The following is a 27,943-nucleotide window of genomic DNA, read 5'->3' on the forward strand; positions in this document are numbered from 1 at the left end:
TACAGCAGATATGTAACAATTATTCTTTCCTTCCCAGACAGTCATGGTAATATTACATTTGAGTTCAGTGAGGTAACTGGTAGCCAGAAATACTCCACAAAAGGTCTATATTCTTGGGTGGGGGGGGGATACAATTCTTCTATTAGGGAAATTTTTATCACCTACTTATTTTTACATAAATTCTAATAATGCCAAGAAAATACATTTCAAAGAGGAAGGTATAGAAATTTAGAGATGACTGTGACCTCAAATATCCATGAAATATAACCAGAAAATCTGCATCTACATAATGACACTATTTTCACATAGCCCCAAAATGATATCTTAGAAAGCCAAAAATCTTTCCTTATCTCCAGGCAGAACTATTTCAAAAGATAACAAATGATTGCCCAAGTGATATTTGAATTATACCAAAAAAGAGACAGTATATACATGGTAACACCATCCTCTGTGTATTATTTCCTCTTGGTAGTCCTTCTGTTTTTCAAGATAATACAGATCTCAAGAATTCTCAATGTTCAAGCAAGAAAATTCCCTCAACCAAGTGAAATAGAAAGAAGTTATCTATTAATTGTGCCAGGATTTCAGTTGTTTTCTTTCCTTTCTTCTTTTCATGCAAGTTTATTTGCCTTTCTATGAGTATTTGCATTATTTGCTCTTTTTCCCCTTTGAATCATCTTAAAGGAAAAAAAATGAAAATGTATCTATTTGGACTTTAATTACACTGGGCAGCAATGAGGCAGGATAGTGAAGTTAAAAAAAGGCTGGGTGTGGTGGCTCACGCCTGTAATCCCAGCACTTTGGGAGACCGAGGCAGGCAGATCACAAGGTCAGGAGTTCAAGACCAGCCTGACCAACATAGTGAAACCCCGTCTCTACTAAAAATACAAAAATTAGCTGGGCATGGTTGTGTGAGCCTGTAATTCCAGCTACTCAGGAGGCTGAGGCAGAAGAATCGCTTGAACCCGGGAGGCGGAGGTTGCAGTGAGCCGAGATCGTGCCACTGCACTCTAAGCCTGGGCAACAGAGAGAGACTCCGTCTCAAAAAAAAAAATACATACATACATACATAAACAGTGTTAGAATAAGCATAAGACTGTGCTTAAATCCCAATTGTACTCTTTATAATTTGTATGGCTTTGTGCCAGTTTTCATCTTCTTTAAGCCTATAAAACCAGGAGTGTAATTCACTCCTTTACTATGAGGATTACTTTATGTAATGCACCTAGTAGAGTGCCCACTTAGAGTAAACACTCAATAAATGACAAATGTCATCATTATAACTGTGTTGGTAAGAACAGGTAAGGGTATAAACCACTCCCACCTCACTGAATTTGCAGGCAATTCCTGGCAATAGTGCCCAACAAAGAGAAAATATACCATAAACATAATTTATTTTAATTACAAGAGACCCTGTCATCTCTACTATTATTATAAATTAACAATAGGTTCTTCTCTTTAATATTTCTCATTTCTGAGCCAAAATCATTTTTTTTCAACAAGGTCAGAGCATATTCTTTTTTTTTTAAACATGCTAATGTACTTCAGTATATTCCATTCTGTAATATTTGTTTCAGGAAATGAAAATTAAATTTTCTTTAATTAACCCCCATGACTCTTGAAAATTTTCCTCATTGTCCTTGAATCTATGGTCTTTAACAGTCTTTATAATATCTTGAACTCTACACTCCACTGAGCTTTTAAGCTTTGTTTAGTGTTGCCATAGCACACCTACTCCTTATGATAGAATATCGCCTTCTCAAATTAACAACATATAGTCAATTTATTGTGGTTTTCCAGTTTCACTGGAATGAACAAAGATTTCTTTCTCTCACAGGCTAAAGTTTTCTCCCTCCTTCATTATTCGGCTTCAGAGTTCAACTCCTTTACCCACATGACATAATCAGCTCAAAATTTATTATACTATATATAGCATCAAAGAATACATTTTTTTAGAGATGAAATGAGGTCTATGTTGCCCAGGCTTGCCTCAAACTACTGGGCTCAAGCAGTCCTCCTGCCTCAGCCTCCTGAGTAGCTGGACCTAAGGCACGCACCACTGTGCCTTGCAGAATACATTTTATTAACGTAAAAATCATTATTTTCCTCTTACTTCTGCATAAATGGTATTTTTGGTCCATTTGCTCTCGGAGAATAGTTAACTTTGTCATTAACAGGCCCATCCAGATTGTTTTATTACTTCAGTTGATAAAAATTTATTTCATAAAGTGCTTTTTCTAAGTAAGACATGAACATAAGCAAACCCATAATATTAAAAGCTTTATATAGATACAATTTAAAGGTTCTGTCAAATAGATTTTTTTTTTTTTTTTTTTTTTTTTTATGAAATGGAGTCTGGCTCTGTCACCCAGGCTGGAGTGCAATGGTGCAATCTCGGCTCACTGCAACCTCCACCTCCTGGGTTCAAGTGATTCTTGTGCCTCAGCCTTCTGAGTAGCTGGAATTACAGGCGCCTGCCACCACGCCTGGCTAATTGTCTGTATTTTTAGTAGAGATGGGGTTTCACCATGTTGACAAGTTTCATAGATTAAAAAGTAGGATAAATAAATACAGTAGAGAGAAATAACATTTCAGAAATGTCAGTATTAAAAACTAAGTCAACCACAAGCAGTTTTACATCATGTTTACAAAATATGCTATAATAGTAATACACTTGAGGAGGGTTAAAAATGGTTCTTTTTTTATTGCTTCTCAGCCTTTTGGCTAAGATCAAATGAACAGTTCTTTTTCTAATTGTTCAAATTGATTTCATAGTCTTGTAATCTACATATTTATGAAAAATAATTTTAAATCTCTTATAAATATCAAAAATGTCAGTTTCCAATTGAAATAAAACAGTATTGAGTAAAGACTATAATGTATGAGTTTTGAAAAAGAAAATTGACAATTAGAAGAAAATTTCATAATATTCATTGTACTAGGACTTTCCACATTTTTGATATGACGCTAACATCAATATTACAATGAATTCTCAATAATTTGTATTAACAAATGACAAGAACAATCTGAACTAAATTGAACAATAAAGTATCTGTAAGCTTAGAAGCATTAATTTCATAGTAACTAAACTTTTGGTAACCAAGCAATTCTATATAGAAGACTTTTAAGTATGCCCTTCTAAGTTTGTTTTAGTAACATTCTCATTTATAATTAGCAATATATAATTTATTTTTTAAAGTGCTAAATTAAATACACTCTCAAATAATTTTGTTAGACTATTAAATTACTTATTTTGTTTCAAGACGGAGTCTCACTGTCACCCCAGCTGGAGTACAGTGGTGCGATCTCGGCTCACTGCAACCTCCATCTCCCAGGTTCAAGTGATTCTCCTGCTTCAGCCTTCCCAGTAGCTGGGATTACAGGCACCCACCACCATGCCCAGCTAATTTTTTGTATTTTTACTGAGATGGGGTTTCACCATGTTGGCCAGGCTGGTCTTGAACTCCTGACCTCAAGATTTATCCCCCTCGGCCTCCCAAAGTGCTGGGATTACAGGCGTGAACCACCGCGTCCAGCCTTATTTATTTTTAATCAACTTTATTGAAATATAATTTTCATAAAACAAAATGCATAAAGTATACGGTTTAATAGGTTTTACCAACTGTATACACCAGTGTAACCACCACACAAATCAAGATATAAGAAAATTTCTATCACCAAAAAAGTTGCCCTGAGTCTCTCTGTAGTCAGTCTTCTTATGCCCTACCAGATAGCCACTGATCTGTCTCTATCACCACAGATTAATTTTGCCTAATTTCGAGCTTGATACGAATGAAATCATTCAATGTAGGTTTTTGTTTCTTGCTTTCTTTTGCTCATTACAAGTTTAGGCCTACTTCTGATTCACAGCTTCTGGTGACATAGGCTGGAGAATAAGTTATTCCTTAAGAAGAAAGGAGTAATCTAAAAAAGTGCTTCTTAGCAGTTCATTCATTTTAATTGCTGAGTAATACTCCCCTGTGTATTCCTATACAGCACACTTTACGCATTCACCTGTTGGTGTTGATGGACATTTAGGTTGCCTCCAGTTTTTGACTATTGTGAATTAAGCTGCTGTAAACATTTATATACAAGTCATTCGCCAGCATATGTTTTTATTTCTCCTGGGTAAATATTTAGAATTGTAATTACTGGTTCGTAGTGTAAGTGAATGCTTACCTTTTTAAAGAATCTTCTAAACTGTTCTTCAAAGTGGTTATTCCATTTCACATTCCCATCAGTAATGTATAAGAGTTTCATTGGTTCATATCATCTACTAATACAACACTTAATATGTGACTTTTTGTTTTTGTTTTGTCATTTTAATGAGCAGGAAGTTATATTCTCATTGTGGTTTTATTTTTAATTTCCCTAATGACTAATGACATTGCACATCTTTTCATGTGCTTACCAACCATTTGTTTTTTTTTTTCTGAAGTGTCTGTTGAAGACTTTCATCTATATTTAGTTGAGTTGTTTTTTCTTCATATTGAATTCTAAGCATTCTTAATAATACATTTTTTTTAAGGAGAAAAAAGTATTCCAGTCCAGGTCAGCACAAGCTCTGAGTCAAGAATAGGTCTAAAATCCACAGATGCAATTCTGAAACAATAGGCCTGGAATCAAAGGTAGCTCTTGATGAAGAGGAGATGAGTAATCTGGTATTTTAGACTCCATTAAGACTCGCCATTTTGTAGCTGACCAAAAGGGTCATTCTTTAGTCCCATTTAAAATCGGCATTTCATCATTTCAAAAATCCTGCTTCAATCTAAGCAAATTATCATGTGATTCTGCAATTGATAGCTAGCTCAATAACTGATTTATTTGATAAGAGGGAACACTTAGAAAATATACAGCTCTCATATTTTCTAATAAAGGTATTCACATATAATTAATAGTAATAAGTACTATCTGTGAGTAGTATGCACAACATGCATGCTGCTGTCTTTTGCAAAGTATTAAAGCAGATGCCTAAGCATTGTAGGTAAGGATGTACTTGACTTAGTTATGATTTGATTAAATGTTCCCTGTTCAGATTGGCTTCTGAATCATCAGCTACTGGTGTAAGTAAAAATAAGTTGGAAAGGTTTCCCTTTCCTGAGGATTTCAGGAAAAGCTTCGCAACTATTTGGCTGGATATTGCAAATCAGATCAAGAATTGGGAAGCGGTCTGTCTTTGACTTATCTTGCACTATCCAATTCTATGAGTCTATGATTGTCATGTACAGAGCACTTGGCTTAGTGGTTTGTGTATAACTTTTCAGGATTAGTGGTGGCATTGAGCTGGTTCATCCACAAGTTTATCTGGTTCTCCATCAAGCTAAGTTCGTCCTATCTGCAGAGCAGACACAGTATTTCTGCTCTTTATTCTTGGCTGTTTCCTCTATTTAGCACTCCTTTCTGTCTGTTTTTCTAAGTTAACACATGATATTTTGGTATTTTAAACTCCATTAAGACTTGTCATTTTCTATCTGACCAAAAATCTTGGTCTTCTTCAATCAGTATATCAATACCTCCTTATAGGAAAATATATAAAAGTCATTTATTCTAAAGCATAAATTATAGACCAATAACTGCTTAACATGCTACTGCAGTTAAAAACCAGAGTTGATTCTTTTCTACCAACTGCCCTCTTTAATTTCCCTGTATAAAAGGCCCAATAATAGGTCAGTTAGTCCACAAAATTTTGTTGAATACTTACTGTTAGGTGCTAGTAGCTTTGTATTAATGAAACAAACATTGTTCCTGCCTTTGTAAAACATATGTTCTTGTGAGAAGGACTTTAAAAATAATTTAAAGTAACTCATGAAATAATTATAAGTATTTCTAATAGTGCAGGTGAGAAACAGTGTTGGAGAACATAGAAATGGAATGGCGGCACTAATATAGGGAATCAGGGACGATACCCCTGTAAAAGGGATATTTCAGCTGAGACCTGAAATTAAGGAACTGGTAAGGCAGAAAAAGTAGAGAAGAACATTTCAGACAAAGAAAAACATGTCAAACATCCTCTCGACTCTGGAACCCACATGACCTTTCCATTTTTCTCACCACCACTTCTATTCTTGCCTTCATCTCTTTTTCTATAGATTACTCCAATAGCCTCATTACTAGCCTACCCTACAAAGTGTTGAAAGATGTCTTCATATAATATAACTGTAATGACATCATCTCTTCCTAAAAATCTACAGTGACTTCCCTAAAGAAAAATGGTCATATTCCCAAGTTTGGCATTTTTGGCCCTTTTCAATACTAATCAAACTTACTTTTCCAATCTTATTTTCATGACTTTTCTGCCACACTGATCTATTTACTTTCTTCGTCAATACAATTTTATTCTCTGAACTTAGTGCTGTTTTCTCATTATTCATTTCATCTAGAGTAAGTCTTTAAATTTCATGTAAATGATTATTTTATTGGTAAAATGTATAACAAGTCACAGGCCTCTTAGGAGATACCCACGTTTTTGTTTTTGCTCTTGTTTTTGTCTAAAGACAGTGATTGCTTTCCAAATAACTACTTTGATGTGCTTATCATTTGGTTACTGAAATGAACCAAAATTTAAATTTCTAGTATGGGCGAGTTTATTGGGCCTTTCAGGTGAAAATCAATGTAATTTTATATCTACAAATGCTTCCAGGAGAATTAGCCAATGGTTGATAGTTCCATTGTCTAAAATAATGACCTAATATAAATCAATGGGAAAATAGATTAAGGCTTGAAATGGCAAGATTTGTTTAAAGGACCTATAATGGGTAGAATATATAAAGGTTGGCCGGGCACGGTGGCTTACACCTGTAATCCTAGCACTTTGGGAGGCCGAGGCAGGTGGATCACGAAGTCAAGAGATTGAGACCATACTGGCCAACATGGTGAAACCCCGTCTCTACTAAAAACAAAAAATTAGCTGGGTGTGGTGGCTGGTACCTGTAGTCCCAGCTACTCAGGAGGCTGAGGCAGGAGGATTGCTTGAACCTGGGAAGCAGAGGTTGCAGTGAGCCAAGATCACGCCACTGCACTCCAGCCTGGCGATAGAGTGAAACTCTGTCTCAAAAAAAAAAAAAATGTATAAAGATCATATGATATGACCCTCAGCCTAAGCTTAGCAATAAAACTTTAGAAACTACAAGAGTGGCCTCTGTTAAGAGCTCACAGAAGGAACAATTTTCTATGCTTCACTGTCACGTGTAAAATAGAAAGCCAGAGGTACTTCAGCATTCCTATCTAAAGAGCTTCCAAATGTGCTCTAAATTTGTAGATGTAAGCTGGGCCTTGTATGTTTTAAAGGTTAAATAAATCTTCAGATAGCTATCTACTATTGTTAGATAAAGGAGTCAACTTTTTGCCATAGCAAAGTAAAGGAAACAGGATTCTCTTTTCTGAGTTGGGTGGATAGTTTTTGTCCATAATTCTGTACTTCCAATTGTCACTAAAGATATGTCATGCTTTATAGCCTCCTATATGTCTGGATCACTTGTGCTTTCATTTGGAAACAATACAAAATAGTTTATAAATGTAAGTATCCTTGTTTAATACTTATGGAACCAAAACATATTTTAGGAAAAATGACACTTAGTCAAACTTTTATTCCTAAGTGTGGAATAATCAAGGTTGTATATAGAAATCCATACTTTAGTATAACATCATGAGTGAAATAAATTTGCACACACATATATATATATATACACACACACACACACACACACACATGCGATGACGTTCCTGAAAATATGATCCTAGATAATTAAGAGAATGGGGAGTTGCTATTCAATAGGTATAAAATTTCAGTTATGCAAGATGAATAAGTTCTAGAGATCTGCTGCACAACATAGTGCCTAGAGTTAACAATATTGTATTGTGGGCCAAGTGCACTGGCTCACACCTGTAATCCCAGCATTTTGGGAGGCCAAGGCAGGTGGATTACTTGAGGTCAGGAGTTCGAGACCAGCCTGGCCAACATGGCAAAACCCTGTCTCTACTAAAAATACAAAAAACTAGCTGGGCGTGGTGGTGGGCGCCTGTAATCCCAGCTATTCAGGAGGCTGAGGCAGGAGAATCACTTTAACCTGGGAGGCGGAGGTTGCAGTGAGTCTAGATCACACCACTGCACTCCAGCCTGGATGATAGAGTGAGACTCCATCTCAAAAAAAAAAAAAAAAAAAAAAAAAAATATATATATATATATATAGTATGGTGTACTTAATATTTTTAAGGGAGTAGATCTTATGTTAAGTGTTCTTACCACAGTTTTTAAAAAGAGAGAAAAAAACAGAGCTGAAAGAAACTATAAATAGCAAATAAAAATTAGCAATTCATAAAGTTCCAGTGAATAAATACATTTACTAAACCTGTCACATTATTTTATAAAGGATTTTTATTTAATTAAATAAAAAGTAGCATGAAAGCAAGGCCTGACATATGCAACAAATGTGGTCCTAAATTATTGCTTAGCCTGAATTATTATTAACTGTATTTTATGTAAATTTCACAAAGCCTATTATTTGAAGGAAGCCATTACTAAATCTTGACTAGCGACAAGTCCCTTGTTAAATAGCCACTCCTCACATACTTATTTCCTTTTTTTTTTTTTTTTTTTTTTTTGAGACAGTCTTGCTCTGCCACCCAGGCTGGAGTGCAATGGTGCAATCTTGGCTTGCTGCAACCTCTACCTCCTGGGCTCAAGAGATTCTCCTGCCTCAGCCTCCTGAGTAGCTGGGATTACAGGCACCCACCACCACACCTGGCTAATTTAATTTTTGTTTTTAGTAGAGACAGTGTTTCACCATGTTGGCCAGGCTGGTCTCAGACTCCTGACCTCTAGCGATCTGCCTGCCTCGGCCTCCCAAAGTGCTGGGATTACAGGCATGAGCCACCATGCCTGGTCATAACTATTTCTTAAGTAGGACTTTTAGAATTGGTTCATCCTAAAGTGAGATAAGCATACATGTATTTGTGAAAATAGTATTCAATTGAGTTTTAATTTGCTCACAGTATTAGAACACACCTATGGAAGTTTTCCTCATTTTTATGTATATTTATATTAAAAGAAAGAATGAAAAATTTAGTAATGTAAGAGTTTCTGGCATAAAATTCTGTATCACAGAAGCTGGAAAATTTCGGCCCAGGGTGCAGACTCAGGCACTAACTTGGGGGCTTTGATAATGACTCTGCCATACTTCTGGCCATGCGACCTGGAAGAATTTGTTAACCATTCTATCCCTCAATTGCCACATCAGTAAAATGGGGAGTATAAACAGAACTTAGAACATAGATGTTTGTGGGGATGAATAGGATTATATAGGTGAGATACAGAGTACTGTTGTGCACACATTGAGTGCCCAATAAATGTTAGCTATAATCTACTTTATCACTATCATAATAGAACTACAGCTTTTTCAAAATTTCCCAAAATTTTATTCTATGGAGAAAAGGTCCTTTGAAAGAACTGACATTTCCTGGATTTGAAACACTAGACTGAAAAACAAAGTAAAACAAAATAGAAAAAGCCTGTTTTTGTATTTTGTTGTGTTCTGCTTTGCTTTACTTTCCTCAAGTACTGTTGGAACACCAGGGGGTTCCATCAAGTTTTTATTCTTTTGTGTTCAAAAGAAGAGGAAGGAAAACAAGGTTATGCATTGGCACTGGAGACACTTTTTTCCCTAAAATGTTTAGAGGCCTAGAATGTACCTAATAACTTGTAAAGCACCAACTGTATTTCCTGGTTACTAATCAAATTTGTTTCTATTTCATTTCTGAGCCAGGAAGGCAGACACAAGTTATAGGTAAATGTCAGGTGCTTTAACTGACCTACGGCAGTCAATAACCAGTCTTTCCTCCCCTGATGAAGTCAATTACTAATTTAGAGACCACTGTGTTCCTTGTCTCTTCTCCTAAGCCAAGTATACCACAAGTCAACAAAGATAATTCTTTCAGCAGCCAAACACTAGGGCGAGGAAATGCTTACTGTCTGCTTGCTCTGTTAGCAGCAAACTATATAGGGAAGCCATCTTCTGGCTCACACAGAGAAAAGAGAACCCTGGCACTGCCACAGCTGTCACTGGCCTTTTCTGTTTCCCAAGCAAAAATCAGAATTGAACAGGAACCAAAACTATTGAGACCTTCCTTCTGTTTCCCAAGCAAAAATCAGAATTGAACAGGAACCAAAACTATTGAGACCTTCCTACCCACCTGTGATTAAATGAGCCAAATGAGTAGCAACGTGGCAGATGGCCCTACAGTTAATGAGATTCTTGCAAGCCCGCAATTCTGTTGAAATAAAATTTTGTCACTTCAGTTTTCAGTACAAAATTGTGCCAACTGAACCCTCCAACACTTTTCTCCAAAATGGGAATCGTCAATCTCACAAGGGTCCATTGTCAGAGGACAACCTTCATGTACAAGAGTGTTCAAGATAATCTTGAATTTTGTAATGGTCTGGAATTGCTATGACTCCCTGTACACCAGAACTTTCTTCTCACACATTGATCACTTCAAGCATCCACAGTTTTTCTTTTTCTTTCTTTTTTATTTATTTATTTTTGAGACAGAGTTTCACTCTTGTTGCCCAGGCTGGAGTGCGATGGTGTGATTTCGGCTCACCCCAACCTCCACCTCCCGGGTTCAAGTGATTCTCTTGCCTCAGCCTCCCTAGTAGCTGGATTACAGGCATGCTCCACCATGCCTGGCTAATTTTGTATTTTTACTAGAGAGGGATTTCTCCATGTTGGTCAGGCTGGTCTCGAACTCCTAACCTCATGTGATCCACCTACCTTGGCCTCCCAAAGTGCTGGGATTACAGGCGTGAGCCACCGCGCCCAGCCACATCCAGTTTTTCTAGTAGTTTATTCCTAAATCAATATCCTGACTACAGTTAAGCATCCTAAAAATGAATGATTACATTTATAGCTGTTTTCTTTACACCTTCATCTATATCTCTAAATATTGTTCTGATTAGACCTCCTGCTTTAAAACTTCATCAGCTCACTCAGGCATAAGTCACCCTGCATTCTGCACTCTTCTGGATTTTGAGTCCCTTTGAATTGCCACTGACCATATGACTTACCCATCCCCATTTCCATTTCCATTTATTTTTTTTGGCACTTCAACCTCAGTATCTTTCTCCTCCTCCTCATTTACAGCATATCTCCATTGCACTTCTGGCCAACTTCCATAGCACATTTTCTTCCTTCTGTAGCTAAATCTAAATCTGCAGCTGTTTTAATATGGCATCTGTGGTTAATTTTTAGTACAATATTGCACATATTGAATGGCAGTAATGCCCAATGCTACTGCAATATTATGCAAGACATCAAATGGATGGAACCTATTAACTCATTGCAAACTCATGCATTATGAACATGGCATAGCACTTACCTGAAACATACAGTACCTGTATGGAGAAACTACAGGTTCCTTCAACGACTTAAGAAGTGAGGACATCGAGCACATTGCATCATCTTCCTGCTGCTGCAGTGTTCTATAATTTTCCCACTTACTTGCTCCCAAAGTTGCATCAAAAGAACAAAGAGAAAATGAAATCCACAGGAAGCTCCCAAAGGCTGCCTATTTGGCTCAGCTGTCTGTCGATTTTTCTAGGTTATGAGATTGCTCTTGGTGACTTTTGACAATATGAGAACACTTCCCTCACCTTTAATGATGAGGCAAGGGGCTCCATACACATAACATTAGATAGATGAGAATTCCACGAAAAAGGATAAGCCATCCAATATGCTAGCATAGACCAAGATCTTAAAATAAATACATTTGCATTCTGGCAGTTTGAACAGCAGAGTTATTTGGAAGAATGGCACTAAAGAGAATGAGCCCCTTTAAGGGCAGCCAAGAGCTAGATTTTGCTAGTTAAGCATTTAATGTAAAACAGAGGCCAATTGGAATAATCATTTTGTACTGGAAAAAAGAAACACAGGCTTTGGAGTCAAACAGAATTAGTTTCAAATACCAGCCTTGCCCCTCAGTAGTGGGGTGACTCAGGCAAGTTACTAACTTCTCTAAATCTCAGTTTTTTCACCTCTAACCAAGGATAATGCATTCCTTACACACTTCTTGAGAAGATAATTTGATGTAAAGCACCCAGGACAATGTTTGGTGTATAGCAGTTACTTCAATTTTTGAAAGGTGGCATACAAACATAATTATAGCAGGCTTTGGCAGGAAGAGGTATAAAATATTATCTTAAGAATAAAACAGTAGGTACTGAAATTAGACAAAGACAATTGAAATAGAAAAAAATTGTTAACCTTGTGAGGTTATATAAAATAGAATAAAAGAGATCAATGAATAGATAAGGTCAGATGGCAAAAGATAAGCTAAGTAATAAGACAAGGAAGAATAAAAGGTGAGAGAAAAGAAAAGTAGCAAATAGATTAAAATGTCAAAATACAGGTATGAATGGAGTCTTGCCTTTCCAGTAAGATATTATGAGAACATTAGGGACCCTAAGAGAGAAGCTGAAGTCCTTCAGCTGACCTGGTAGGAAGAAGGGGAGAAGCATAAGACCCCAGGGACACAATGCAAGCTACATCTTAAGCAGACTGTCTGCAGAGGGCTTGAGCCTTCCAGCTCTGAAGGCGCCCTCGGCTCAGGCAGCACTAAAGGAAATGCACTAATGAGCAGAAGGGCAGGTTGCTGAGAGCAGCGACTGCCGAACTTCCTGGTCAAGCAGGGGTTTTTTGATTTCATAAATCAATTACAATGTGCTATATTGATTTCACAAAGTCAGCAGGACTTAAAAACTAATGAGCAAATTTTTTTATTATTATTTTTGAAAACACTGCAGTGTCTACAGCTCAGCACACTCGGCAGAAAGACAAATGGAGGCTTTGGCTGCCACAGATTTCATTCCATCCTAGCCCCCTCCCAGCCATGTTCCTCATCTCAGCATCAGCAAAGAATCAGGAGCTGGCATAAGACCCTGGTGCATTATGCCAACAAATCTCTCCCTGGTATCTGAAGCAGGGGCAGCCCCAACTAATGTGTCTGTGTTTAGGCACTAGTGAGTTTTGTACGGGTGCCCAGGCATCCCCAGATGGAGCAAACAAGGAAAAGAACAAGAAACCCACCTAACCAAGGATATAAAATACAGAAGGACTGCATTTGTGATTGTGGTTCTTAATAGGTAGCCACTGCCATTTTCTTCCCAACCATGGTAACATCTAAACTGGAGTTTTTATTGAGCTATTTATTTTGTACAACATCAAACATAACAAAATTGATAAGGAGATTATTCTGCCACTCAACCCCTGGCCCAATGCCAACAGCTTCAGAAATGACCTCAGGTGGAGGGAGGCATAGATAGTTTAGTCTTTCTCCACAGCAAAATAAATTATCCCATGATACAGTTTTTAGGAAAAAATGCAAAGTGGGGGATAAATACATTCTGCTAAAATTTTGCTGTTAAAATGTACTACCTGTTAAAAATGTACCATTCTAGGGTTGAAAAATAATTAATGTTAAAAATAATAGCTAATGTTTTAGCACTTGCTAGGTGATAGGCTCTATGCTAAGTCCTTTGCATGCACTATGTCATTTAATTCTTAGAACAACGGTAAATGGTAGATACTATTATTATCTCAATTTTATAGTTGATGATAATCGAGGCTTAGGTAGGCTAAATATCTCCTGAGTGCCATGTGGTAAGTGACATTATGAAGTCTCATCTGTTTACACTAGAGCCTGTGTTCATTCCATCAGTAAATAGTTATTGAGCACCTAACACATGCCAGGTACTATTCTAGGAGTCATCCGCTACCAAAAAAAACACTTTTTAAGTCAAGACAATGTATTTACCAGAAATGAAAATATTTCAACGAATGATGACGTTCTTTCAGAATATGATTTCATTTATTGTCAGGATTGAGAACCAGAAATCCAGAAGATAGTTGATAAACTGGCTAAAGGGAAACTAAGAGAATACCAAACATTATTCTTAGTATGTGAATACAACAAATTAGAGTGATGGGGGAACAAGAAGGAAGGTTAAAAGTCTAAGAAGTTAATTTTTTCTTGCATAGAGGAAGCAGATAAAATTGACCAAATGTAAATATGAGAGAAAGAGTAATTACTAGAAGTAACACTAAGGAAATAAAATCTGTGTTTCTTAGGAAGTCATTTTGTCTCACAAACACAACAAAGCCATGAGGATAGATTAAAAAATAAACTGCTACATAAACTTGATCTTCAAAATACTTCTCAATGCGTTCATGATTCCTTTTAATATTATTAGAGTAAATAGTAAATATAGCCTGCAGAAGTTTTACCCTCTTAATTTTCATTCCTTTATGCTTTTTTTCTTGTATGTACTTGATGACTAAAGTCACACTTAAATGACTTAAGAAAATGTGCTACAAAGAAAGGAAAACGAAAATTTAAATAATTTATTTTTGGTAATTTTCCTTTCACTTTCACAAAACTCACAAATAAACAGAATTAGGTAAAGACATGCCCCACAAAATACTGCCTTTTACTGACACACATTTTTTGCTCTGTTTTGGTGCTTTTTTTTTGTTTAAGTACAATAAGAACATTAATTCAAGGTAGGCACCTGCCTAGATCCCACCCTCATTTCCTACAATCCTCTCTCTTCTTCACTACTGTTGAGCCAAAATATTTCAGTTCTACAAACATACAGAGCTCATCCCTGCCTTTGTTTCTTTGTCTCAGATTTTTCCGTTGTCTAGAATGTTCCTTCCTAGATATTTTCCTTATGGCTGCCTTCTGCAAGACTAACATTATCTAATACTTCACCACAAAGGTATTTCCTACCACCTTTATCAGTCATGGGTGAGTAAAAAACAAATCAGGTACTCATATAGTTTATTTAGTAAAGGGGTGATTTATAGTAATATAGTGATTATTTATTGTTATAAAGTTTAACAATATGATAGCACATATAATGCAGAATTCTGTACTACAAGAGCCAGGGAGGAGTGGTTACCAAGGGTGAGAGAATAAAGGAAGAAACAGTTCCTACAGCTCAGAACATGAAAATATAGGGGAAGGGTGCCCAACAGGAACCTGGCCTTAGGTAAAGAAAAACACTGCCAATCAGTGGGGAGCTGGCAGGGAGGATCCAGGGGAAAGTATACCCAGCCCTCCTCCTCCCCTAGTTCTCAAATCTTCTGCAGATGGTTCCCATTGGTCAAACACAACCAGAGGCCAGAAGTAAGGCAGACCAACGACAGAGTCCATAAAGTTTGGTCTTCTGGAGTGGAAAGCAGAATGGAGAAGGGCAAAGAGACCAGGAAGGGCAGGTGGAAATGATCATCAAGAACCCAATCCCATTGCCCCTAGTCACTTCCTACCACATTCTTTCTGTTTGTTTATTTGTTTGTTTGTTTGTTTTTTGAGACAGAGTCTCACTCTATCACCATGCTGGAGTGCAGTACCATGATCTCAGGTCACTGCAATCTTCACCTCCTGGGTTCAAGCGATTCTCATGCCTCAGCCTCCCAAGTAACTGGGATTACAGGTGCTCGCCACCACACCCAGCTAATTTTTGTATTTTTAGTAGAGACAGGGTTTCACCATGTTGGCCAGGATGGTCTCGATCTCCTGACCTCATGATCCTCTGGCCTTGGCCTCCAAAAGTGCTGGGATTACAGGCGTGAGCCACCATGCCTGGCCTCACATTCCTTCTTTTAATTATTTGCATTGTACTTACAATTTTGATATTTTCTTTTTAGTTTGTGCATCTGTTTAACTAACTATAAATTCCAGATTTGCCTGTCTGGTTAATCAGTATGTCCCAGAGATTAAACCAGTGCCTGTATACTTTAGATATAATTACTTGCCAGATTAATTAAAATAGCAAGACTGCTGGGCATGGTGGCTCGTACCTGTAATCCCAAGGCTTTGAGAGGCCGAGGCAGGCAGTTCACTTGAGGCCACGAGTTCCAGACAGCCTGGGCAACATGGTGAAACCCCATCTCTACTAAAAATACAAAAATTAGCCAGGCATGGTGGCACATGCCTATAGTCCCAGCTACTCTGGAGGCTGAGACAGGAGAATCGCTTGAACCCAGTAGGCAGAGGTTGCAATAAGCCAAGATTTCACCACTGCACTCCAGCCTCAGCGACAGAGCAAGACTCCATCTTGCTAAACTAAACTAAAATAAAATAAAGTAGCAAGACCTCTGTGATTAAAAACAATACATTGAAAAAACTAATCATTCATGAGGAAATACTCTGTAGTTTATAGGAGAATGATACAAAATGATACCTCATTTTACCTGACAAGAATTTTAGAATGAATCAACTATAGTCAACTATACCTTGTAAGTCAACTTTTACAACTCCATGGCTATCAGGCTAATCAGGTTGATTTATCATATCTAGCAAAACAGAGATCATACTACCTATCTGCAGTTAACATGGCAGTTAAATAACACATATGATAGTCAATCATTTCTCCATCAATTAATCTATTAATTTAACAGATGTTTATTGAACACCTACTATGGGATTACACTAGACACTGTGAATACAGAAGTGCACCAAATAGCCAAAAATCACTGTCTTCATGAAGTTTATATTTGAATAAGGAGTCAAGGTCACATCGTCAGAATGGGCCTCACTAATAAGCTGATACATGAGCCAAGATCTGAAAGAAGCAAGAAGAAGAAACCAAGCAGATATACAAGATTTTCTGGAGAGAAAGAATAGCAAGTGCAAAAGTCCCGACGTGAAGTCCTTTTAGCATTTTAGAGGACAGCAAGCAGGCAAAGTTGTCTAGAGCCACGTGCGTAGGTTTTGAAACACGGACACAGGGCAGGACTAAGGGAGAGGGAAGCAGAATATGTTGTAAGGACTTAACTTTTTCTCTGAATGAAACGGGTGGCCACAAAGTGGCACATGACATGACCTGATTGACATTGTAACAGGGGAGCAAGGCAGAATTAGAGAGACAGTTATAAGAGTATCACATTGATTCAGATGAGAGATGGAAGAAGTGATCATAGTCTGTGGACTTATATTTGAAGGTAGAGGTGAAATGATTTCTTGATGATAGAATGTAGGGCTGAAGAATCAGAAAGGAGTCAAAAAATGCTGAGGCTTGGGGTCTTAGCAATCCGAGATGCCCAGAAAGACTTTGTTATTTGTTTGTTTAATTTATTTTCCAGTTAACTCTGAAAAAGAGAGGCTCATCCAGTTGTTATTTACCTCATTGCCATGAAAATTCATCCAGTTACTACTGTCTCATTCCCAAGAATCATTGAGGAAATGTCTTGTCCTTAAGCTTTGTATAGTTAACTTTGGAACACCATTTTTCCATTCAAAGACTTACCATTACACTTTAAACATAGAATATAAACATAAGGTAAGATGCTGGCAAAATAAAAATTATGAACTACTTCATTTCTGTGAATTTAGCTCATGATAACTAAATTTGGATAAATTTTGCAAAGATGGATTTTGATCCAGATTTAAGATTTAATCAGTGGCTTTACAATTTAAGTTAGTTTACAATGAATTAAAGGAACTCCTTTTTATGCAGAGGGTTTTAAAAAATCAGGTTTTCAATTTTTCAAATGATCTTTTAAAAACATTTCTATCATAACAAATGTGGGTTACCAAATTATAAGGAATTAGAATATAATCATATGCTTTAGTATCAAAACTTTATTTAATATAATTTAGTCTTTTTGTCAATAATTTATTATTCTTTAGGATGGCAGAGACTGTATAGTATCATGAAGGAACACAGGCTTTGAAGACAGAAACTAAGCTCAAATTTCCAATTCCTTTGTAACTTGCTGGCATCATAAACTTGGATCAGGTTTCCTAATCTTCAAACTCAAGTATCTTCATTGATTTAAAAATGATCCCCAAAATAATACTACCTCACAGGATCATTGAGGTAGGATTATATTCACAGGATTATATTCAAGTTTTCTGTTTGTTTGAATTTAGCTCATTTGGAATTTACTAATTTAACAGAGATTATGATTTTGGTAGAAATTCATCAAAGCAACATTTAAGCCAATACAATGATTTTCTAGCTATTACACAAATACTCATCTAAAGTTAAAGTATACATCTTTTACTGACATTCCACAAACTCAGTCATTCTTACTGAGTGGAAAAGCTCCAACTTCTGTGTATTGTGTGTTTTTATTTGGCAGTCACTTTGACAATTTTATTCTGAATTTAAATCTATTTTTAGACCTGCATGCATTATTTTATATAGTATTGTGAAGAAGCTGATATTTTTGTTTGATACACTATGTTATGTCAGTGCTTCTGATTGCCAAAACCAACAGTTCATGTTTAAAACCTTTCAGAACATTCTGCAGTCTGATTAGGTCACCTCTGAATACTAGGAACTAAAATGAGACCACAGCTAAGAAGAAAGGAGACAGGTGCAATTTTTTTCCTACTTATTCTCATTTCCTAATAATAATATAATCAATAGATCATTATAAACCTCTTTCCTGAAACTCTGCCCTCCTCCCTGTTTCTCTCCACCCTACACACACACACTTAAATACACCGGGTTCCCCTATTTGCTCCACTACTCACTGAAGGATCATCTTCCTCTTCATTTCCTTACACATCCGGGTGCTTCCTGGGCTTTGGTCCTCGATGTTTCCTCTCACTTAAAAAAAAAAAATCCCTTTTCTACCTCTCTTTTATCAGTCTCGTTACCTCTCATAGCAAGAAAAAGTGTTTTTTTATTTCCTGTATTTCCTGGAAATTGTATCTGTTTTACTTTGATGGCTCTTGTCTAGCAGCAAGAAATGAAGAATCCGACTTGGAGTAAAATCTTTTTGAAGGTAATGCCAAGCCCTTATTCCTCTTCTTTCTCCAATTGACTGTAGCAGAGGGCCCTCCTAGGGGTCAATATTTAACTCTTTAATTAATCAACTGTTATTTTAGAATACAGCATAAAGTTCTCACATATTTAATATATGTCAACTTATTCCCTAAAAGTCCACAGAAACAAGCATTGTGGCAGAGGAAAATTTATTGAAAAATATTGTTCCAAAATCTTGCTTCTTGATTATATTTGTAGGTATAACAGAATTAGACTACTTTAATAGCTGAATTCATTTTTATTTCATTGTGGAATAAAATGAGTGCTGCAGATGCCACACTATGGTTTGATTGTTATATATGTTTGGTCATGTGGGATTAGCCTGATACATGTATGAACTCAAATATCCATGTTAGCTAACAAACAAAAGGAGTGGGTAAAGAGATGTGTATATATATACATACTGAAAGAACTTTTTCTATATATGAGTGAATAGCTTACCTAACGTAACAGTCTTTACATAATAAGACTACTTATTTAAATTTTAAAAGAATTTACCTCTAGATGGGTTTTTGAGTGAATTTCCTCAGAAAATTCATTTTCATGGCACAGAGGATTATCATACTTGGCTGCTGGTCTGAGCTCATCCAGGAAACAGACTTGAGTGCTTTTATTATCCACTAGAGTAGATCTCAAAGAACAGAAGTTACTCTATGATTATTTAGCGGCAATAGGACTTACCACAGTTCCTGGCATTTAGTGTTCAAGAAATATTTGTTGAACTTCATTAAAAAATTAAGATAGCCACCTCAATATCTTAGTTTATACACACATTTTCAGGCACATATATATTATACGAAGAGAAATGCAATAATAATCCTTGCATAAAACAGATGAGAAGCTCATCTCACTATGAGATGGGTTGGAGAAGTCTTCATTTTCTTTAAGAGTTTATACTCAAGCTTGTCAGTAGACATCATTAAGCTGTTATGAGATTCCTTCTCTTGCTCAGTTGAATCTGCTTCATGAACCAAGTCAGGTTCTCTTCCATGGCAAAAGTAATGAGGTGGGGCCAATGTGTCCCATTGTCTCCCAATATCCACAGCAGCCACTCAACACTGTAGTGCTGTGGCCAGGTGAAGGGACTCTGAAACTGTAGTACTATCCTTTGAAGCTACCACAGTTCTTCTCCTCTATGCTGAATTAACCACATCCTTGTTTCCATTTAAATAAGAAAGATGCACAGAGGTTCAACCCACCCATTATTGAACATATTTTGCATATGGAATTTCTAATCACCATATTATTCCAGGGATGTTTGCAGACGGAACCTATTTAGATTTTTTTGTACATGGATGCCTAGAGAATTATGGAAAAAACTAGAAATCATCTAGTTCTAGTCTAATACCCACATTTAGCATTCAAGGTAACTGAGAAATAAAGAGGTCAAATGTTGCTCAAGATGACTCAGCAAGTTAGGAGCCAGTGTGGACCAGATAAGTGTCCTTTTCTCTACACCATGTGGATAATGGATGTTTATAGCAAAGTTAACATTGAACCTGTTGAGATTCATGTAGATAATCTGGAATTTTATGTCTCACTACTTGATAATGTTCATAAATTGAATTATGTAACCAAAATCTGTCCTTTACCAATACAGATATCCTATTCAAGGAAGTAAAATTTCACTAGTATCATGGGCATCTTTAGCATGTCAATTTCAGTAGACCAAGTAGAACTCTAGTTAATTTGTTTTGAATGGTGAGGCAAACAAAGCATCATTATTCCTATGAACATTTAACAGTTTTTGAGTAATCATGATGGCATGTATTGAACATTTTGGTGAAACAAATATCTGCTAATGATGGAAATGTATTTGCTAGTGGTACAAGTCTTACAAGACACGCTGCAGAAGAACCTTCAGAAAATAACCTCTGACCTTGAAGAACAGATGTTCTAAAAGCACACAACATAGGGGTTTTGTAAATGAGCAGCACTTTGGAGTTTTTCCAACTTTTCAAACATTCAGGGAAGTAAAAATGTCACTATGCCAGGTTTTCTAAATTTTCATATTTCAAATTAGTATAATTTGAGGGAAGTTATTTAAATGATCTGCACATTACTTATCAAGACATATATTTCTAAGTGCCAATGTCCAGGAATTAGTTTGCTTTTCTGAAATAATATTTAAGATAATCCTTTTTAAAATTAAAGGATATTTTATCAACATAAATAGCCTACTCAGAAAATTATATCAACACTAAATCACAGGTAACACCATCATGTTTTATCTCTATTTATTTTGATTTTTGAAGTAATTTAAAAGGGTATATTTAAACATTATAAAGTACACTAACAAATAAAACATTTTGTAGACTCAGTGAAAACAAATTTATTTATTTATTTAGTTTTTGAGATGGAGTTTCGCTCTTGTTGCCCAGGCTGGAGTGCAATGGCGTGATCTTGGCTCACTGCAACCTTCGCCTCCTGGGTTCAAGTGATTCTCCCGCCTCAGCCTCCTGAGTAGCTGGGATTAGAGGCATGCACCAGAAAACAAAATATTTTATTCATCATTAGTAACATTTGCCAGAACTCTGTGCTGTTTAAACTTCATAAAGTATATCACATGTAGGATATTTTCTAGTTTTCTAGTCTCTTCTGTATATATGCCAGAATAATATCAAATACTTTCATTTAATCAGTTATGATTATTTTATACCAAAGAAATCTCATTCTAGAAAAGAAGGCCATCTATTCACCACTCCTGTTGGCCATTAACCTTCATACCTCCCCTTTCAGTGTTCTGTCTTGGGTCTTCTTTCACCGTATAAATCCCAGGGTTGATTTGATCCAGTCACTCTGCAGCAAACATCCTTGTATGTCTCTTTGTGAACGTCAACAATTAGGATATGGACTTCCTCAGCCTTATCAGATGTTGCCAAATTGCTCTCCAAAGAACTAATATCAATTTACATTCCAGCCAGCAGTGAATGAAAGTTCCAGTTTCTCTACCTCCCAGACATATGTATTGTCATGCTTTAATTTTTATCATCTAATGGCTGTGAGATGCAATTTTATTATTGATTTAATTTTTATTTCCCTAATCACTGGTGAAGCTAAACATCTTTTTACATGTTTATTTGTCCTTTGGTTTTGCACTTCTGTAAATCAACTGTTTATATCCTTTGCCTATTTGTTGTTTCTTTGAGCTTCTCCCTCCTTCTCCTTTTCCTATTATTCTTCCTCCTCCTCCTCCTCCACTCCTCTTTCTCCTTCTTCTTGTTCCTAGGAGTTCTTAGTATTATCTGAATAAAAAATTCTTTGTCAGTTCTAGTTTTATGCATTACAAATATGTTCTTCCAGTTTGTGGCTTGTCCTTTACTTTTTTTTTAATGGCAACAGAAATTTAAATTCTAATGAATAAATGTATCAGTCTTTTCATTTAACACTTAATGCCTTGGATGAAAATGTTTTATCCCAGGGTTATAGAACTATTTTCTTAAATGTTCTTATCACAGTTTTAACATTTTGTTGATCACATTTAAGTCTTTAATCAATCTGTTGTTTGTATTTTTTCATAATGTGAAGCAAGAATCTAATTTTAATTTTTCCTTATGGATACTTCTCATTTATTAATTAATCCACTAGTTCTTCCTTCTTCTCAATTTTAATGCCTTTTTAGTGATACAACAAGGCTTTTATGAGTGAGGACTGCTTTGAGGCTTTGTATCCTCTTCAATTTGACCATTTTTGTATCCCGGTACTATTATTATACTGTTTTAATTGTTATAGCTTTATAAGTTTTTTGGATTGGTGTTTCAGTTATTTATTGCTGCAAAACAAAACAGTGGAGGTTTTCTAAAAAATCATTATTTTCCATGATTTTGTGGGCAGCCACAAAATTCCGTTTCCCATGGTATCAGCCCAGGCACTGGACGATCATGAGGTCCAAAATAGCCTCATTCGCATGGTTGACTACCACAGTGCTAGCTGACAAATGGGAGCTCAGCTGGGGTTTTCAACTAAAGCCTTTGTTTTTCTCCATGTGGGTATCTCTATGTGGCTATTTGAGCTTTGGAAAGCATGATAGGTGGGATCCAAGAAGAAATATTACAAAAAGCAAAGGCAGAAATTGCAGATGTCTTAAAGTCTAGCCTCAGACATCACTCAAAGCCACCTCTGCCTTATTCTATTCCTACAAGTTGATTAAAAGAAGGTAAAGTAGACTGCACCTCTTGATGGGGGAGTGGCAATGTCACTTTGCTAAAAAGTACCTGGGAAGGAAAATAGTGTTGTGATCATCTTTGGAAATAACAATCTATTGCATTCTGGCAGGACAAGCCTTATCATTTCATTAGGCTTCTTCAACACCATTTTGGACCCTTTTCCTTCCAACTATGAATCTATAAATTTTAGAATTAACTTGTCTGGTTCCATCCAAATTTTATAATGTGATTTTTGAGTGAACTTTCAGATAACATTCTTCAACAAATGTTTATTGAGTACCTACTATGCTCTTGCACTAATGATACATAAATGAAAAAAAAAAAAAAACAGATAAAACCTCCATCTTTCATTGAGCCTGTATTTCGGATTATGTGGAGAAAATTAAAATATTTATGACCTTTGTTATTCTAATAAATATATTTTGTTTTGCAAATTTGGTTAGGTCTTCTTTTATGTCCTTCGTCTAAGCTTTATAATTTCTTCTTATCCGATTTATTCTTAGACAAATTTTTGTCTTGTTTCTCCCAACATTTAGACTAAGCTCTTTGGGCAAATGTTTTAACTTTTTGTCTTCTGATAGCACCAAGTACACTGCCAGATATAGCAGGACAATGTAACTTGGTGAACAGACTGAATAAAAACTGAAGTAAAAGATTTAATTTTCCATTTGTAAATATTAATCATGCCAGGTCAAACTATCTTAACCAAGTTAAGCTCCTAGAAATAAGTAGCATTCATGTAGTAAGTGAGTTGCCATCACTATATTCTTATAGAAGGTCCCTCGTATAAAAACCAGTAAGTAATGTAAAGGAGCAACTACCCAGGTACTCCAGTGGTTAAAAGGAAAAGATGAAAAGAAAGAAGGAAGAAAGGAAAATGCTCTCCAAGCTTTATACGGACATTTAACGTAGTTAAAAATGGGTTTGCCTGGCCTTTGCTAATCACACCTTTAGCTAATAACTTCGAAATTTGCTTCTACATTAGGTACAGTGTGGAACAAATTAGCTCACTTAATAAATGGAATGAAGCTCAGTGTGAGTCTCTTTAAAAGCACAAGAACATTCCTATTTCATCCCTCAATTACCAAATATCTGCAATTCCTAGTTTTGCATCATGCTGAACTTCTAAAGTAGGAAAAAAGCAGTTGAAGTAATATTACAATAGCAAATGATACAAAAATAGCATTAAGTACCAAGGATACCTAAAGTTCATTATTTCAATTCTTTACTCTCAACAAGGGCAGATCTGACACTGTGAAAATTGCTGACAAAATCATGACTTACCACCAAACAGAATTTTCAACATTTCAAGTTATGATTAAGATAAGGAATAGCTTGATGACTATTTCACTACATTCAATACTATTTATAGAATACAGCTGCAGGGCTTTGTATATCTAATAATTATTGTGAAGAAGTTTTACAAAACATCAGTCCTTTGAGAATTTCTATACATTGTACAAGTTATTTAAAATCTGCCAAATGTTACAATATGAAATGTAAAACTAGGAAACCCAAATGCAACAAGTGGAAAACATGGGCTCAGCTAATACCACAACACACTGCCAAGATGGAACTCTCCACAAGGTCTATCTTCCTGCTACTTCTGTCCTGGTATTTCCCAGAGTTCATGCCTTCTCATTCCAAGTATATGCTAAATACTCCTAAATCTAGATCTCTAGCCCAAGATGTGTCAGTTGAGCAACAGACCCATGTTTCCAATTCCTCTGAGGTGTCATTGCTTGAATGTCACAGAAATAATGCACATTCCATAATCTCAAACATAACCCATGATTTCCATACTCTCCTCCTTTTGTATTTCTCTCTCCGTGAATAGAACCACCATCCACCCAGGCCTCTATGACAGAACCTTGGGTGTCACTGAAGACACTTTTTCCTCTCTGTTACTTCTCATATCAAATTGGTTACCAAGTCCTGGGAATTACACAGGATCTCATCTTTTTCCTTTTCTTCATACCCACTGCCATAGCCTTGGTTCAAGTCCTCATCATCTCTTACATGGCCCATGGTAGCAGTCAGCTAGCAGGACCCCCTGCTTCTAGATGTACCTCTTTTAATCCATTCTCCAAACATTCACCAAGTGATCTTTTTAAAACACGAAGCAGATAAAGTTACCCATACCTACCTGTTTAATACCTTTCAAAGGTTACCAATATTCTTGCAGGATAAATTACAAATCCTTAACATTATTCCCTGGCTCTTGTCTACATCTCTATATTTTTTTATTAAGTTCAGGTTCTTTCCTCATCTGCTACCTATCCATGCCAGACAACTAAGACTCAGACTCAGTCTCACTAATTTGTAGCTTTGCTTACACTGCTCCTTCTGCTTAAAAGATCTTCAAATCTTCTCCCCTACTTGCCTTTAACCTGATGAATTTCTACTCATTCTTAAGGTCTAATACAAGCATTACTGCCTCTACAAACCTTCCTGAAATCCACAGAGGAAATTATACACTTCCATCTTTGTTTCATAAATCTAATAAGAACTAATATTTATGGAGTACTGATATTGCATTAGACATTGTATTCAGTGGTTTATTACATTATTGTATCCTATAAACATAAATTATTTTCACATTACCTTACTATTATATCCTACACAATCACTTGTAAATTATTTTAGTACGCTTTATTTTACCTACTTATTTACATATTTTGTAATATTATCCTACTAAACTGAAAACTACTTAGGACTGAACTGTGGTTCATCTTACTCTCTATTGCCTAAGCTACTTCATTGCACAAGTAGGTCTCAAAGCTCTGTTGATAAATGAAGTTTAATGGTTTCAAGGAGACTGATATTATATAATTAGAGATGTTAACAAATGCATTAAAAATTTTAACGCATCTTGAATCAAAGCAATTATCTATCTAACTTAGTAGCTGTGCAACAAAGTAAAAAGAGCAAGAGTGCCATTAATATATCTCAAAGATAAGCTTGTTTAATAATGCATGTTTGGGCTGGGTGCAATGGCTCACGCCTGTAATCCTAGCACTTTGGGAGGCCGAGACGGGCAGATTGCCTGGGCTCAGGAGTTTGAGACCAGGCTGGGCAATATGGTGAAACCCTGTTTCTACTAAAATACACAAGAAACTAGCCGGGCGTGGTGGCGCGTGCCTGTAGTCCCAGCTACTCAGGAGGCTGAGGCAGGAGAATTGCTTGAACCCAGCAGGTAGAGGTTGCAGTGGGTCAAGATCGCACCACTGCATTCAGCCTGGGTGAGAGAGTGAGACTCCGTCTCTACAAAAAAAAAAAAAAAAAAAAAAGCATGTTTGTGTCAATCACTTATGTGTTTATTTGAGTTAATTAGCGCCTATGCAGTTTTCTGCTTGCTCAACTTATTGGAAAAAAAATTTCTAAGGGTATGTGCAAAAATATTATCTAAAGTAGCATTTGAAATTTTGCTCTACAATTACACTGTTAAACACAGTAATTCTAAACAATTCCATGTGAACTAACATCTGTAAATGTTCAGCAATTATCCACCTGTTGACAGTCTGTAATTCAGCTTTGTGAGTACTACTGGTTTGTGACATTAAATCAAGAGGTTTAATATTTTATCTTGGATTAAATGCAAAAGATAATCAAGAATAAGACAGACATTTAGCTGCCTGGATAGCAGTTATAGATCTGTTTATATTAATACTAACAGAGAGTCAAACAGTTCCCAAAACTTTTAGATGTGATGGCAAGAATAAGAGCAGAAGATGATCTGCACATCAAACAGCTTTTTCGTCTTTGCTTAGTGTCAAGCATTTGGCAAAACAACCCTTTGTATTATTTCAGCATTTCAGAGGCCTAATTTTCCATAGTTGTGACTCACATATCCTATTCATAGGCAGAGGTCTTATAAAAATGAATGTGACTGATACAATCTCTTATAAAAATGAATGTGACTGATACAATCTGAGCAGGAAATACTTATTACCAAATGACCACAAATTCTTTCTTGTTTGTAAAAATTAATTTACCTGTGTTAAATTGTTTTAATCAGATTTCATTTTAAAACTAGCACTTTAAGCATGATTTAATCTAACAACTGATAAAACAATAACATTTCAAAGGCATATCTAGAACAGTTTAAACCAAATTCTTGTCTGTTCATAAGCTCTGGTAAAACTTTTAGATCCCTGCTATTTAGTAAATCTCTTAATATGTATTCATGTAACTAAATACTCCTATACACTGTTTTCCTAAATTCAGGGTTCTGGATGTTCTTCCCCTCATTATTAGGACACCATCTCTCTGTTCTATCACATTTCTTCCCAAGCAAGTTTGTCATCTAAATACCTCATTAAATAATCTTATACCTTATTCCGTCATAACAATCTATAAGAGAATTGTTCCCCAGGCAGAGGAAGTCCTCAAATTTGTTGCTATTTCCTATTCTCTTCTTAATTAGTGGCTCAACTATCCACAAAATCACCCAAGCCAGAAGCCTACAGTCATCCATTCCACTCCATCCCCACACTCCTAATTGGTGATTAAGACCTATTGACTCTTCCTCCTGAATATATTGCAAATCTATTTGTTCCTCTTCAAGTTCACTACCACTGCTTCATCATTCATCACTTGGATTATTGCAGTGATTTTTCTAACTGGCCTCCCTGCCCACCAGGCTCAGTTTCATCCCCTCATTTCTCCCCCATTCCAGCTCATTCTTCTACAACAATTGTAATTATATTTCTAAAATGAGATGGCTGATGCCATTCCCCTACATAAATAAGATGCAAACCAAATTCCTAACACGGCATTTTAGCACAGCCTTTGCATATCTCACCAGATTTATGTCTCATCTACCTTCCCATATACTCCAGTGCTACAATTCTTTTTCTATAAGCAGAAATAAGTGCCTCCTTACTCTATGTTTACTTAGCATACACTGTTGTTTTAGTACTAGTTGCAGGAATAAAATTCAAAA

At 36.2% G+C, this 27,943-nt stretch overlaps 2 protein-coding genes and 1 long non-coding RNA gene across 9 annotated transcripts in view; 1 reads left to right on the forward strand and 2 right to left on the reverse strand.

Annotated features, from left to right (window-relative positions):
• Positions 1–27,943, reverse strand: part of CTNNA3 (catenin alpha 3) — a 1,851,072-nt gene that overhangs the window by 1,057,861 nt on the left and 765,268 nt on the right. The window lies entirely within an intron of this gene.
• LOC101928961 (uncharacterized) overlaps positions 1–27,943 on the reverse strand; it is a 118,044-nt gene that overhangs the window by 76,274 nt on the left and 13,827 nt on the right. Inside the window, exons 2-3 of the long non-coding RNA NR_111911.1 lie at positions 11,374–13,921; positions 10,189–10,266 (exon numbers count right to left, since the gene is read on the reverse strand). This is a non-coding gene — a long non-coding RNA (uncharacterized LOC101928961). The remainder of the gene's footprint in view (positions 1–10,188; positions 10,267–11,373; positions 13,922–27,943) is intronic.
• Positions 1–27,943, forward strand: part of LRRTM3 (leucine rich repeat transmembrane neuronal 3) — a 175,516-nt gene that overhangs the window by 44,348 nt on the left and 103,225 nt on the right. The gene's annotated exons all lie outside the window — the stretch shown is intronic.

This window comes from Homo sapiens, chromosome 10 (assembly GCF_000001405.40).
Source record: "Homo sapiens chromosome 10, GRCh38.p14 Primary Assembly".
NCBI lineage: Eukaryota > Metazoa > Chordata > Mammalia > Primates > Hominidae > Homo > Homo sapiens.